Here is a 16,416-nt window from a genome sequence, read left to right as displayed (position 1 = left end):
GCTTTTAAATTTGTCTGCTGGCCTTTCCCACATATTAATACCAATAATTCACACTTACTTGGAAATGAGTATGTGGCAGGTACCATGCTAAGCACTTTACATGTATAATGTCATAAGACACCCATAACAAACCTATAAAGAGAGTTGTTATTTTTATTTCAGAGGTCATGAAACTAAAGCTTAAAGAACATAACTGACTCGGTCAAGGTCATAGCTACTAGTAAGTGGCAGTACTTCGATTCAAACCCAAGTCTGACAGAGCCTGACCTCTCTTTTATCTACACATAGAATGCTCTTCAGAGCACGGACTCTGGAGCCAGGCTGCCTGGGTGTGAATCCTGCTTTGCTTGTTTTAGTGTGACGAACTCTTGTTAGTTTGCTCAGGATTTCCCAGTTTTAAAATTCAAAGTCCAATGTTCCCAAAACTCCTTTAATTCCAGTCAAACTAGAACTGTTGGTCATCCTATACTTACTACCCATATAGCTGTGGATATATTTCTTCTTTTTGTGCCTGTTTCTCCGTATATATATATAAAAAAGGCTAGCGACAGTCCCTGCCTTAGAAGGTTGATGTAAGGATTGCATTACGTACAGCACTCAGTAAAGGGCCTGACATATAATGGCATAATATTGTATTTGCTATTATTATTGACTTTCTATGGTTCTCTTCTACTATATTAAGATGCTGTTAATTAAATAATCACATTTGGTACAACTGTGTGGAAAGAAAGAGTACAAACTCCTCATAGGTTCTCTGTTGAATACAAGATATCATCGCTAAGGTGCATCAATCTTGTGATACCAGTTTTCAGGTCTTCAGCAGTCTTGGTTGATAACAGGTTCTCAGCCTTCAACCAGCTAGATCATACTTGTAGGTAGCTGAATTCTAGGCAGACTGAACAAAAAGCAAGATTTCCAAATACATAAAGTGGAGGGAGCAGGCACTTTTGGCTCTTGGGACCCCCATTTCCCTGCTTCTTTTTTTTTGAGATGGAGTCTCGCTCTTGTTGCTGAGGCTGGAGTGCAGTGGCACGATCTCAGCTCACTGCAAACTCTGCCTCCTGAGTTCAAGCAATTCTCCTGCTTCAGCCTCCCAAGTAGCTGAAATTACAGGCGCCTGCCACCATACCCAGCTAATTTTTTGTATTTTTAGTACAGAAGAGGTTTCACAATGTTGGCTAGGCTGGTCTTGAATTCCTGGCCTCAGGTGATCCACCCACCTCGGCCTCCCAAAGCGCTGCAATTACAGGCTTGAGTCACTGCACCTGGCCTTCCCTGCTTCTTCTTTGCTGGGAGAGCCCCCACTTTGTCCAAGTCCCCACCCCTCCCCCACATAGCCACGTGCTCCACGGGAAGCTCTGCCTGGCTCCTGCAGGATGTGAGGAATCATCAAAGCCCATCATGGCAGCCCCACTGCCCAGGCCTGAGACTGGGTTACAGGTGGCACATGGCCCAGTCTGCAGAATTAGATGCAGGAGGCAGTCAGCTCCAGGCTTCTGAGAAAGGTTTCCTCACTCTTAACAAAAAGATATGAGAAAGTCCCTGCCTCCTTTGAAGTTGTCTTCTGGAACCACTAGAGACATCTTGAGACCAAAGGGATGGCTGTCTTAAATTGAAGTCAATGTTAAGAAGAGCAGTATAGAAAGATGGGATGATCACAATCCTTGGTGATTCCACCAGGTCACAGAATTAATCTGCATTGTGATTATTCGACTTCTGAATTCCTTGTTTGTGAAATAATAAATTTCCTCATTGTTAGGGGTTGAATTGTCTCCTCCTCAAATTTCTATGTTGAAGTCCTCATCTGCAGTACCTCAGAATGTGATGTTATTTGGGAATAGGGGTGCTGCAGATGTAATGAGATAGGATGAAGTCATACCGGAGTAATATTACAGGCTGATAATATTGTGTCCCCCCAACATTCATGTCGTGAAGCCCTAACCCCGGTATTTCAGAATGGGACTGTATTTGGAGACACGGGCTTTAAAGAGGTGATTAAGTTAAAATGAAGCCATTGGACTGAGCCCTAACCCAATCTGATAGGTGTCCTTATAAGAAAATTTGAACCCACAGGGAGATATCAGGGATACACATGCACAGAGAAAAGCCATGTGAGGATGCAGAGAGAAAGTGGCTACGAGGAGTGAGGCCTCAGGAGAAGCCAAACTTGCTGACACCTTGAACTTGGACTGCTAGCCTCCAGAGCTGTGAAAAAAGAAACTTCTGTGGTTGAAGTTGCCCAGTCTGTGGTATTTTGTTATGGCAGCCCTAGCAAACTAATACACTTGTCCTCCTTTAACCTGGGCGAGGTATGTTCCAAGGCTCCCAGGGAATGCCTGAAACCACAGACGGTACAGAACCCCATATATACTGTTTTTTCCTATACCTATATATCTGTGATAAAGTTTAATTTATAAATTAGGTACACTAAGAGATTAACAACAGTAAAATAGAACAATTCTGTCAGCAGCACTACTCTTGCACTTTGGGGTCATTATTATGTAAAATAAGGGTTACTTGAACGCAAGCATTGCAGTACACAACAATCGACCTGGTCACCAAGACAGCCGGATGAAGATGGTTACCATCCTCGGTGGGATAAAGTGGGGCGGCATGAGATTTAATTCTGCTACTCAGATCAGTGTGCAATTTAACTTATAAATTGCTTATCTTTGGAATATTCCATTGAGTATTTTTGGACCAATGTTGACCAAACCAAAACCTCAGAAAGCAAAGCCATGGATAAGTGAGGGACTACTGTACAGGTTTGCTTTTTTGTTTGAACTTTTATTTGTAAATTTATGCAACCAGTTTCAGAAAATAGAGATTATTCTGTACGTTGCTTTTTTCAATCAACATTATACTTTTGAGATATGCTGATATTGGTGTATCTAGGTCTAGGTAATTTTTCTTACTGCTGTGTAGATTTCCATTCTACAAATATATTACAACTTAGTTTTTCAATTTTCCTTTTTTTGGTTGTTGTCAGGAACAACATGGCCATGATCATCTTTCTATGTGCAGTTGGGTTTCTCCAGGTTACAACTATAATTAAATTTTTTGGATCACAGAGCTAAAATATGCTTTATTTTTTAAAAAAGTTAATTTTTAACTGACAAAATTGTATGTATTTATTGTGTATAACCTGATGTTTTGAAATATGTATATATTGTACAATGGCTAAATCCAGCAAATTAACATACGCTTACAATTCACATAGTTTTTTTTTTTCGGAGACAGTTTCACTCTTGTTGCCCAGGATGGAGTCCAATAGCGCACTCTCGGCTCTCTGCAACCTCTGCCTCCCAGGTTCAAGCAATTCTCCTGCCTCAGCCTCCCGAGTAGCTGGGATTATAGGCGCACACCACCACACCTAGCTATTTTTTGTATTTTTAGTAGAGACCGGGTTTCGCCATGTTGGCCAGGTTGGTCTCGAACTCCTGACCTCAGGTGATCAACCTGCCTTGGCCTCCCAAAGTGCTGGGATTACAGGTGTGAGCCACTGCACCCAGCCCCATGTGCTTATTTTTTATGGGAAGAATACTTACAATTTTTTCTCTTAATGGTTTTTAAAAAATACTACACATTGTTATTAATTACAGTCACCATGTACGATAGATCTCTTGAACTTATTTCTCCTAACTGAAATTTTGTATCCCTTGACCAACATCTCCCCAGTCTCCTAACTCCAGCCCCTGGTAGCCACCATTCCACTCTCCGCTTCTATGAGTTCAACTTTTAAAATTTCACAAGTCAGTGAAATCATGCAGTATTTGTCTTTCTGTGTCTGATTTATTTTACTTAATGTCCTCCAGGTTCATCCAAGTTGTTGCAAAGGACAGGATTTCCTTCTTGTTAAAGGCTGAAAGGTACAAGTTGAATATCCCTTATCTGAAATGTTTGTGACCACAAGTATTTTGGATTTCAATTTCTGGGGGTTTTGGGACATTTGCATTATACTTACTGGTTGAGCATTCCTAATCTGAAATGCAAACTATTCCAGTGAACATTTCCTTTGAGCATCATGCCAGTCCTCCAAGTTTTTAATTTTGGAGAATTTTAGATTTCTGAATTAGAGATGCTCAACCTGTATGCCATTGTGTGTATGAACCTCATTTTCTTTGTCTGTTCATCCACTGATGGACACTTAGGTTAACTCCATATCTTGGCTATTGTGACTAGTGCTGCAGTAAACATGCGAGTGCAGATATCTCTCTGACTCACTAATTTTGTTTCCTTAGGATATATACCCAGAAGTGGGATTGCTAGATCATATGGTAGCTCAATTTTTAATTTGAGGAACCTCCATACTGTTTTCCATAATGGCTATACTAACTGATATTTTCACCAACAGTGTGCAAAGGTTCCATTTTCTCATTTTTGTTGACAACACTTGTTATCTTTCGTCTTTTTGATAACAGACTTTCTAACAGGTGTGAGGTGGTATCTCATCATGGTTAATACAGATTTTGATTCTAAGAAGTGGGCTGCTATGGTAACAGATACCTAAAAAAGTGGAAGTGACTTTGGAACAGGGTAAGACAAAAGGATAGAATAGTTTTAAGGTGCAGGCAAGAAAATGCCTAGATTGCATTGAAGAGACTGTTGGTGGAAATATGGACATTAAAGAGGCTTCTGGTGAGACCTCAGATGGTTCTGGTGAGACCTCAGTGTTACTTGACACTGGCAGAAAAGCAATTCTTGTCATAATGTGGCAAGGAACACGGCTGAATTGCATTCTAGTGTTCTGTGTAAGATAGAACCTGTGAGTGACTAACTCAAGTACTTAACTGAGGAGATTTCTAAGAAAAGTGTTGAAGATGTGGCCTAGTTTCTCCTTATTGCTAGCAAAATGAAAGAGGAGAAAGACATACTGAAGAAGTAACTGTTAAGCAGAAAGGAACTAGAACTTAAAGATTTGGGAAATTCTCAGCTTGTCCATACGCAGAACATGAGAAAGTGTATTCTGGAGAGAACACCAAAGTGTGGCCAGACAACGACTCCATAAAGAAATTAGGGGTGTAATTCTTAGACAAAATCAGCTATTTCAGAAGAAGCCAGGGATAGAGATGGGGTTATACCAGCAGAAATATTGCCAGCTTGGGGTAAAGAGGATGGAAACAGGACAAAATGAAGGATGGTAAGACTTCTTAGATTCTACAGGACAAGACAATTTAGCAACCTGGCTGCAAATAATGTATTAACCTCCAAGAAAAGGGAAAGTAACTCCAAAGGCAATTCACAGATCAGCAGAACATCTACTGCCACTGCCACCACTGGCCGGCCCGAAAGGTACAGATCAGGGAGATGAGGCTATTTCCCCCTCACTTTCAGGGGATGGGGTCACCACTTCTGTCACTGAGCCAGGATGCTACCGCCCAGTGCCCCAGGGACAGGGCTGCTGCCCCCAAGGGCAATACTGCCGCCTTAGTGTGTCCAGAGGCAGGGCCATCATCCCAGTGGGCCCCGGTACAGGGCATTGAGCCAAAGAAGATTATTTTGAAGTCTTAAGAATCTAAAGGAATTTGCTCTGCTAAGTTTTGGACTTGCTTGGGACCTGTGACCCCTTTCTTCTGATTTCTCCCTTTTGGAATAGAAAGGTCTATCCTATGCCTGTTCTACCACTGTATTTTGCAAGCAGGTAACTTCTCTGGTTTTGTAAGTTCACAGCTAGAGAGGAATTTTGCCTCAGGATGAATTGTACCTCAATTCATGAAATGAACTGATAGATGAAATGTATCATGTAGATGATATTTGGATTATATTTGGGACTTAGAGTTGATACTGGAATGGGTTAAGAATTTTGGGCTGTTGGTAGGCCGGGCGTGGCGGCTCATGCCTGTAATCCTAGCACTTTGGGAAGCCAAGGTGGGTGCATCACTTGAGGTCAGGAGTTCAAGACCAGCCTGGCCAACATGGTGAAACCCCGTCTCTACTAAAAATACAAAAATTAGCCGGGCATGGTGGTGGGTTGCCTGTAGTCCCATCTACTCGGGAGGCTGAGGCAGGAGAATTGCTTGAAGCTGGGAGGCTGAGGTTGCAGTGAGCCAAGATTGCACCACTGCACTCCAGCCTGGGCAACAGAGTAAGACTCTGTCTCAAAAAAAAAAAAAAAAAAAAAAAAAAAAAAAAAAAAAAGAATTGTGGGCTGTTGGAATGGGTGAATGTATTTTGTATGTTAACAGGACTTGAATTTTGGGGGTCAAGGCGGCACATTGTTACAGGCTGAATTATGTCTCCTCCAAAATTCATCTCTTGAAGCCTTAACCCCTCATACCTCAGAATGTGGCTGTATTTGGGAATAGGACTTATAAAAGAGATAATTAAGTTAAAATGAGGCTATTAGGCCCTTATCCAATGTGACTGGTGTCCTTAGGAGAAGAGGAAATTTAGACACACAGGGAGACAGTGAGCATGAATGTGCACAGAGAAAAGGCTATGTGAGGTCACGGCAAGCGATGCCTATCAGCAAACCGAGGAGAAAGGCTGCAGGAGAAACAAAACCCCTCAGTGTCTCCATCTTGGACTTCTAGCCTCTAGAACTTTGAGAAAAACACGTTTTTATTGTTTGTGCCACCTGGTCTTTGGTCTTTTGTTATGGCAGCTCCAGGAAATGAATGCACTGGGCTTTCTGTTATTTGGCACTAATTGCCTCCTAATAAATGCCACAGAAATCACCTATATGCCACTCATACAGCACTCCCAAAATAATAAGCTCCAAAATGAGTCAGAATGACATGATTTTGAGGAAGAAATAATATGAAAAGGAAAACACATTGAGGTAGAATACGATGATCAAAGAATACCTGAATCTAAGGGAAATGCAGAAGAGCAATCTATGAAAAGAAACAGTGAAGAAAGAGAGAAAGGTTCATTTGGATCATTAGCTGTCACATGACTGTGAAACGTGAATAGACGAGATTAAACATATTCATTTGATAGCTGGAGGGTATAAGAAGAACGTTATACGTGAAAAGTACTAACTAAGAAGTTTACAGTAAGTTCAGAAATAACAATCACTGAACAGAAATATGCCTTCAATTTTTACAAACTCACAAACTTTCTAGGAAAAATTATTATTTCTTTACATTTTATAGTTATTACAGAATTAAGTTGTTATATTTTTTAAAAAGAGGATGCAGAGGCCAGGCACGGTGGCTCACGCCTGTAATCCCAGCACTCTGGGAGGCCGAGGTGGGCGGATCACGAGGTCAGGAGATCGAGATCATCCTGGCTAACACGGTGAAACCCCGTCTCTACTAAAAATACAAAACATTAGCCGGGCGTGGTGGCGGGCACCTGTAGTTCCAGCTACTTGGGAGTCTGAGGCAGGAGAGTCACTTGAACCCCGGAGGTGGATCTTGCGGTGAGCCGAGATCGCGCCACTGCACTCCAGCCTGGGCGACAGAGCGAGACTCCATCTCAAAAAAAAAAAAAAAAGAAAAGAGGATGCAGAAATATAACAGACATCTCACTAAGCATTCTTTTTTTTTTTTTTTTTTTTTTTTTTTTTTTGAGACAGAGTCTTGCTCTGTCGCCCAGGCTGGAGTGCAGTGGCGCGATCTCGGCTCACCGCGACCTCCGCCTCCCAGGTTCAAGCGACTCTCCTGCCTCAGACTCCCGAGTAGCTGGGACTACAGGCGCCCGCCACCACACCCGGCTAATTTTTTGTATTTTTAGTAGAGATGGGGTTTCACCGTGTTAGCCAGGATGGCCTCGATCTCCTGACCTCGTGATCTGCCCACCTCGGCCTCCCAAAGTGCTGGGATTACAGGTATGAACCACCGCGCCTGGCCATCACTAGGCATTCTTATAGCTGAGATTCTTCTCTGCCAGTGATATATGTCATATGCTGAGCATATTAACACAATAACTTATTCATCAGGCAAGAAAGAAAAAAAAAAGACTTTTTTTTTAAAAAGGGATCACATCAGCACACTTCACTTGAATATCGGTGATATGGTTTGGATCTATGACCCCACCAAATCTCATGTTGAATTGTAATCCACAATGTTGCAGGTGGGGCCTGGTGTGGGGTGATTGGGTCATGGGGGCAGTTTCTCATAAATGGTTTAGCACCATCCATCTTGGTACTATTCTAATGAAAGTGAATTTGTTCTCATGAGATCTGGCCATTTAAAAGTGTGCAGCACCTCCCCCCTCACTCTCTCTTGTTTCCCCTTTGGCCAAGTGAAGTGTCCGCTTCCCCTTCCCCTGTGATTTTCTGAGGCCTTCCCAGAAGCTCAGCAGATGCCAGCATCATGCTTCCTGGGCAGCCTGTGGAATCATGAGCCAATTAAACCTCTTTTCTTTATAAATTACCCAGTTGCAGGTATTTTTTATAGCAATATGAAAACAGACTAATACAATTGCTATGTTCCACACACCTACCTGCAGAGGCACATCTGGATCCATAGTAAACTGGGCAATTTTGTCAGCCCAGGGCAATAATTTCTTAGTTTTGTGGTCCACATAATAATCAAAGATTGTTCCCTGCGACGGAAATTTCACTGCTTTCATCTCTTTCTGCCACCACCGACTGAAGTCAGCTTGATAATCAGAAATCTAAGGAGAACAAAAGAAATCCTTATTGCAGACTCAAAGTAATTAAAACTGTAAAAAAAGAAACAAATTATGAGTAACAATATCATAGGGGTAGAAACCTAAAATTGCCATATACCCATCAAGCACAAATTTTGTGAAATAATTAACTTAAAAAGCAAGGTAAAGTTAGGTGAACGCCAGATTACCTGTTCGTTATTCAATCTAATGACAACGTATTATGCAAATTCCTATGCTAGGTAGTCACTATTGTAACGGTGGTGTTCACTTCTACCAATGTTCACATCAATTTATGGGAAAATGGGAAAAATAAGAATGGCGTACTTTTTAAAAATTAATGACATTATTTGATTTAAATACTGTCCTTTGTTCTGAGCTTATAGCTTCTCTGGCCCTTTCAATGATAAAATATTTTTCCCTTATAAAATTATGGTGATAGTTATTTTCATAAATGCTCTTGCTTAGAAAAGTAAACAACTGGCAACTCTATACCATTCCTACACATCATTACTGAAACTCTGTTGATCTCTGGAATTCTAAATCTGGGAATCCCTGCCATGAGAGATGGAGGAATGGATAAACGCATGGGCTTGGTTTCCCACCAGACCAAATCTAAGGGGTCCAGCTGAAAACTGCATAGGGATCAACTTTCAGCCTCCAGAGAGATTTATATTGGCAAGGAACAGGCTCTCTTTACTGGGAGGTGCTTGCTTTAATATCAGTATAGATATAAGCCATTTACTGCTAGATTAGGGTTGGAAAATAAAGAAAAGGACAACTGTGAGCAACAACTAGAAAAACCCTTCTATATCCACAGGATGACCTGGCCCAGTGATGCCCATGTCTACAGGATGACCTGTCCCAGTGATGCCCATGTCCACAGGATGATCTGGCCCAGTGACTCCTATATCCATAGGATAATCTGGCCCAGAGACTCCTATATCCCTAGGATGATCTGGTCCAGTCACTGCCATATCCACATGATGACCTGGTCCAGTGATACCTCTATGCATCCACAGGATGACCTGGCCCAGTGACTCCTATATTCATAGGATGACCTGGCCCAGTGACTCTTATATTCATAGGATGACCTGGCCCAGTTACTCCCATATCCACAGATGACCTGGCCCAGTGTTTCCTATATTCATAGGATGACCTGGCTCAGCGACTCCTATATTCATACGATGACCTGGCTCTGTACCTCTTATATCCACAGGAGACCTGGCGCAGTGACTCCTATATCCATAGCATGACCTAAAATAGTGAGTTTGATGAACTCTTAAAAATACTGTGTGTGTCTACTGCTTTCAGCAATCTCATTTCTATCTATGACTTCAACCGTGATTTTTCCCCATAGAAGTTTTTAAACTTGCTTTTACTTTGACGTCCCTATGTCATTGGATTATGGCCTATAAACTGGGCAGAAGGAGGTGATCGGTGTTTGCAGGGAGAGCTTGCCCCACCATCTTCCAAACCAGCTGAGAGCATCCTTCTACCACCCCATGCATGAGTTATGACTTTAGGTTCATTTAAATTATTTTCAGATTGGTGGTAGAAGATACTTCTTCACCCTACAAAAGTTGGTCTTGAGCCAGGACAGTTCAGATGATATTACTTATGTGACACCATTCTCTGCAGGCAGACTACATTTAACTTTTACTTGATATCAAACTTTGCTTCACCTAACCACTACATATAGGCAAAATGATTTTGGTGACAAATCTTTCATTCATTAATTAATTCAACTAAAACGCATCTGTTCTAAAGTAGAAAAGAAAACCAACAGAGTCTCTCCTCTCACAGAGTTTATGGGGAACATAGAGGAGAGGAACATGAAGATGTGTCGTCCAGCTGAGGCTAAGCCAACAAACGCAGACATCAACAGTTGCCTTGAAAGTAAAGTTTGCTGTAAGTGAGAATAACAGAGGCAACCTATTTTAATTGGATGTTCAGGGAAGGCATCTTTAAGTGCCGTTTAAGGAAGAGTCCAGCATGTACAAAGTTCCTGTGGTATGAAAGAACTTGGTGTGCTCAAGAAACTGGACCCTGTAGCTGGGGGTGGAGGGGTGGGGGAGTGGGGGAGTGGGGGAAGTGGCAGAGGAAGAAATAGGGAGAGCTAAGCAGGGCTAGATTCAGAGGCCTTGTAAATAGAATTAAAATTTGAAATGTAATCTTAAAGGCAACAAGGAGCCATTCAAGTGTTTTCAACTCTGGAGTATATCATAGGATTTCACGTGCATTTCAAAAAATCACCCTGACTGCTGAGTGGATGATGAATTATCAGAATAAATGCAGAAATAGAAAGCCCAGTGAGGAGGCTACTTCAGAAGCCAAGTGAGAAATGACGGCAGTTTATGGGAGTTCAGATAAAGTTGATTTGAAACTTGTTTTGGAGGTTGGCTGCAATGGCTGAAGAACATAGGTCCTGAGTCAGTCCGCTGCTGTTTGAACCTGGCTTAGACATGGGTTAGCTTTGTGCCTGGAAGCAGATTAAAATACCTTTCTAAGCTTCAGTTCCTTATTTGTAAAAGAAGAGTTGTACCAATCCATATAGAGTTTTATAGTTTTTGAAGAGTAAATGAGGTGCCCTATGAAAAGCTCTAAGCACATTCCCTGACACATATTAGACACTCAATTTGTTAAGCTACCAAGTGGCTATCCTGAGAACATTTATTGTGTCTGTTTCATGCATATTGCCAACCTCATAGCCTCTGTTTTAAATGCTCTGTAGTTAGAGCCCTTTTGAAAATGTTAAGCTGCTATTGCTGCTCATGTTGACTATTAATTAGCGAAGGGAAGGTGCCAGTGATATCCAGCTTCTAGCTTATATAACTAGGGGGTAAGGCTGATACATTTGGAAACTGGAAAGATTAAAAGAGGGTCAGCTGGGAGGGAGGTGAGGGGTTATGAGCAGGAGGGGGAAGATGTCCGCTATCAACATCCCACCTGATTTTACAGTCCCAGAAAGGGAGAAAAGGGTAAATATTGAAAGAAATACCTGGTGGAGAAGGAGGGTTGCCTTCTGTCTGCATGTGGCCTCCATTAACAAGAAACCCACACATGTTGTAAACCGTGCCTCTGAGAAAGCCACATGAAGTCCCTGACACGAACACTTGACTCTCACACAGTATTGGCTGCTAATCTTTAGAAAGCACTTGGAAATTACAGAAGGAATCTGGCTTCTGAGAATGGCTGAAATAAGATCTAGGAGGCCAAGTGAATTCCAACTATATTATTATAATAATAGGCATGAGTTATGGTAACCTAGTGGCGAGAAGTGGAACTGGCCAACAGATTATATCAACCATTTATTTTCTGATCTACAGTGAACAAACCAACAGAAATATAGGTCACTCTTGGCTGCGATGCCTTTCAATGTAAATGCCCCATTTACACCTGGAAAGAGCAAGGAAGCCTGGAAAATGTGTGCTATCTATTTTTAATGTAAAAATTCAGGGGTACCCATAGAAGCACTATGAACCATGAGAGGCCCTGAGGTACCATGGAAGGTGTGGCTTTTGGAGAAAGACACACTTGGGTGGGAATCCTGATGTTGCCATTTCCCATCAGCGTGACTTTGGGCAAGTTACTTTGCCCCTCTGAGCTTTACTTTATTTGTGCAATGAGGATACCTTGAAGAACCATTGTAAAGATCACATGAGAAAAATTACACATAGAGGTGCATGGTGGCAATTAGATCTGCAAATTTCTAAAGTTGAATAATTCCCACTTTGCACTTTGGTAAGTCTAAGCAGTTCGTGGGATCTGTGTGCTGGTGCAAATGTTTGTCTCAAGTGTTTTCCCACAGGAAATCAGAAGACACAAAAGGGCTATGCAAGCAATCTGTACAGGCATGAATATTTCACTTTCAGCTAAAAAAAAGATCAGTGAAAAAGGAATTGACCCAGGGTTGACTATGGTTCACAAATGACTATCCTGGGAATAGTGTGTGAGACTGGTTAGAAGTAAGAGGGACTGGAGAGAGGGAGACCAATTTGAAGATTATCAAATGCTACAAACCGAATTGTGATCCCCCCTCCCACATCCCACCCCCAAATCCATATTTTGAAGCCCTACCCCACAGTGTGATGATATTTGGTGGTGGGGCCTTGGGACATAATTAGATTTAGATGATGTCATGAATACAGGGTCCTCATGATGGGATTAGTGTCCTCATTAAAAGAGAAACCAGTATGTCTTTCTCTCTCTGTCACATGGGGACACAGCGGGAAAGTGGCGGTCTGAAAGGTGGGAAGAGAGTCCTTGCTGGAACTCAACCATGCTGACACCATAATCTTGGACTTTTGGTCCCCAGAACTGTGAGAAATAAATTTCTATTGCTTAAGTCACCCAATTTGTGGTATTTTGTTATGGCGATCTGAGCTACTAAGACGCTATGATAACCAGAGCAATCTAAAGATGCTTTGCTCCTGAATTTAGGCTGCAGGGATGGAGAAGAGGGAATAGGGTTGGCAGCTATTTCACAGGTGAAACTGAAAGGGTCTGAGATCACAGGACACAGAAATCAGGAAGAGTGATGTCTTCCACGTTTTTAACTGGAGCTACCGGGAAGAATGTACCACTGAGCAAAAGAAAAGAAGGAAGAGCAGGGGCAAGTTGGAGTATGGGGCAGAGGAGGAGATCTGTCTCAGGCACACTGAGTGGGGCTTCTTGTAGAACAGCATGCTGAAGGCGAGGCCCCAGAGCAGCCAGAAACACAGAACTTTCAGTTCAGAAGACACAGCCAGGCTGGAGGGTATGGATTTGGCATTGTCAGCTGGGGTTAGAACCATCAGGGATGGGACTACCCAGAGAATGCATAGACTTAGGAGAGAACAGGGCAAGCAGTATAGATCTATAACATAACAAAAAGGTACAGATCACATGTTTTAACCTCCCCATGACCCTGTCCCACACAAAACTGGAAACTGGTCCTGTAAACTATTTCTAAACATACCTGATCTTGTAGCAGGGTGCCTCCAAAAGCCCAGATACAAGCAAATACAAAATAGACTTCATAAACTTCTTTTGGGCTGTCAGAAGGTACATTTTCAGGAGTCAGCAAGCACTCCAAAAGAACACATAGAGTCTAAAGAAAAAGAAATAGTCAAATAAGGCAACATTTTTTTAAAATAGTGAAGTTCAAAGAATATTTTTACAACTCCACTTTATCCTTAAGAGAGTACATAGTTTTTCCCAGCTGTGATTTGCTACATTGGGAGAGACAAAAATTACCACCTTGGGTGTCTAAGTTAACAGTAGAAAACTTGTCACTTTCAACCAAAATGATCTAGGTAATAAACTATTTTTTAAAAACAAAATTTTAAACAATCCAGTTAATAATCAGTATACAAACCAAAATCACACATAAGCAAAAAAAAAAAAGGGTACATATTCACTTTTTTATAAATAGGAAATCATTTTCTAAATAGTATTCTATAATCCACTTCCTTGATTAAAAACTGAAGACATCTTTCCTTATCAATAAGTGTTACTCTACACCACCACTGGAATGGATGCAGAGGATTCCATTGGATGAAGAGGCATTTATTTTACTATTTCCTTCTTGTTGGACATTCAGATAAACCACTTTCGGTAAGCGCTTTGGCAGCCAGTTTCCCACCCGTTGTCATAAATTTAGAATGTTGGACTGGCAGCTTAAGCCTGTGGCAGTTTTTTGGACACCGAACTAAATTTAACCTTGAAAGAAATGCTGTTCAGGAACTCAGGAACGTGTTCTTCATACTCTCCAGGTGAAATGGCAACGTGCTGGGCGGTCCTCATGTACCTAGCCCATGCTTAGGGCAGTTGCGCCAGCAATGAGGGGAATGCGGCTGCTGCAGAGGCCTTCACCATGTGAAATAATAACCAGTAATGAACAGGTTCTGGGGCTAGCTCTCTAAAGCACAGAAAGTCGTCATTAATTAGCACTGTTACAGATCCTAAAAACTCAAGAGACTCTTCCCCCAGTTTTTGCAGGCAACGATAGATTTTCATCTCTATTATACACACAGCAACGCAAGCGATCACAGATCAGGTCAGCACTGTGTGTGTGCCTTTCCTTCCTTGCCACAGAAGATGGGGAAATACTTTTCATTTAAATTATTGAGCACCTATTATATTCTTTAATCTTCTTTCTTGGCTTCTATTATTTCATGTTGTGCCACATTTGCCAATTTGAAATAATCTTTTAATAGAAAAAAACTCACCAATTTGCTATTAAGAAAAACAGTGTAAAACTCTGAGGCTTTGTTATTTTTTAGTAGAAGCCATGTTGTTCTAAGGCACTGTTGAAATCAAAACAAAAAAGACTGAAGGGTCTCAACGTGACGCTATCTGCTGAGATGAACACACGAATACGGCCATGTGTTTCTTCTATTTTCTCCCACAGTACTTGAAATATATTTTGAGTTCTGTGTCAGCATTTAACGTACTTTAATGAGTAATCTGAAAGAGTTAATAAACCTTACCAAACTTAAAGAGGCGTCATATATCGGAAAACAGAGTGCATTAATTTCTCAAGATAGCCATTTCAGGTCACTATCTTCTTATACCCATTTTTGTCTCAAATTTCCATACTTATTAGTAACCACAGAAGAGAAATTACTCTATAAAACAACAGCTTAAAAGGAGCTAAAAATTAAATGCCCTTTCTGAATACAACAAAAGAAAGAAGTAGAGCAGAAATCATATTAATTCCTACTGACCTATTTTCACACTACTCTTGAATGGAAAAGTTCACACCACAGAGAATCACACAAATACACAAGTGAACTTGAGAAAGAACACGATAATGCTTTTTTGCAAGTATTACACCAGAGGGAGTCTAATTAGGCTAACTACATAATTAATTCATAATGAACAAATTCAGACCTGCTTTCGGAAATAAATTATACCTCAGATAATTACTGTTGAAGACTATCGTTTATTTAATTGGTGTGCGAATTATCCAAAAACCTGAACTTTCTCTTCTTATTATGCTTGTGACTATTTCTAATTTTGCGTCAAACAAATTTGGTAACACACTCACTTAATGGTAACAAAGTACTTAGAAAGCAATTTTGCTCTTATAGCAAAAAAAGGGTGTGGGGGTTTCTAATTGTAAACCTTTTCATGAAGTCTTCTACTTCTAAGGGCTGGGGATAGTTTTTCTTCATGCTGAGATGAAGATCACAGCCTTCATTTCTGTGTGTTGTGAATTATTTTCATTGGCTTCCATGACAACATATTATGTGTAACCCTCACTCTTACCAGCTGTCTCAAGATGAAGATGAGAAAAAATATATCCCTGGGATATTATGAACTCTTCATCCAGACTGACACTCCTCCATGAATATTTTTGGGAGGGGGAGGCCTGTGAGTGGTGGCACCTAGGTGGTAGAATTCAGAGGCTTTCTCTTACTCACTGGCTGGCATCTTTAATTGCACAAATTTGTTTTATTAGAAAACATACTGAGCACCTTCTCTGGGCAAGTTACTTAGGAACCAGAAAAATAAATAAAGCTATTGCAACTTTGTTCTTCTAATTCTGTGCAAAGACACTGGAAAGGAACACAGTGATTCAACAAACACATATCTGGCACCTACTATGTGCTAAGAGCTATCTGGGGATACTAAAAAAAAATCAGTAAAACATGGTTCTAACCTTCTTTCACAAGATTGTGAAAAGAAGGAGAGCACAAACTTAAACACTAACAGAATGTGATAGAGGTTTGCAAAAAGATCCAGGGAACATGGGGGACGGGGGCGGGGGCAAGAGGGTTGCAGCAATCTAACAATTCCAGAAATCTTCTCACTTTCTTGGGCAAGGCAAGATCTTCTGTTGTCTTGATCAACAAACACTACCGCATCAGA

General features: G+C 41.2%; 1 protein-coding gene across 1 annotated transcript in view; it reads right to left on the bottom strand.

Moving 5' to 3' along the window:
- Nucleotides 1-16,416, bottom strand: part of DNAH11 (dynein axonemal heavy chain 11) — a 358,801-nt gene that overhangs the window by 167,464 nt on the left and 174,921 nt on the right. The window contains exons 44-45 of the mRNA NM_001277115.2: nt 13,520-13,651; nt 8,392-8,565 (exon numbers count right to left, since the gene is read on the bottom strand). Coding sequence (NP_001264044.1) covers nt 8,392-8,565; nt 13,520-13,651 — 306 coding nt within the window. The remainder of the gene's footprint in view (nt 1-8,391; nt 8,566-13,519; nt 13,652-16,416) is intronic.

This window comes from Homo sapiens, chromosome 7 (assembly GCF_000001405.40).
Source record: "Homo sapiens chromosome 7, GRCh38.p14 Primary Assembly".
NCBI classification, from domain to species: Eukaryota; Metazoa; Chordata; class Mammalia; order Primates; family Hominidae; genus Homo; species Homo sapiens.
The sequence above is the reverse complement of the archived record's forward strand: the minus strand, read 5'-3'. Positions and strand labels throughout refer to the sequence as shown.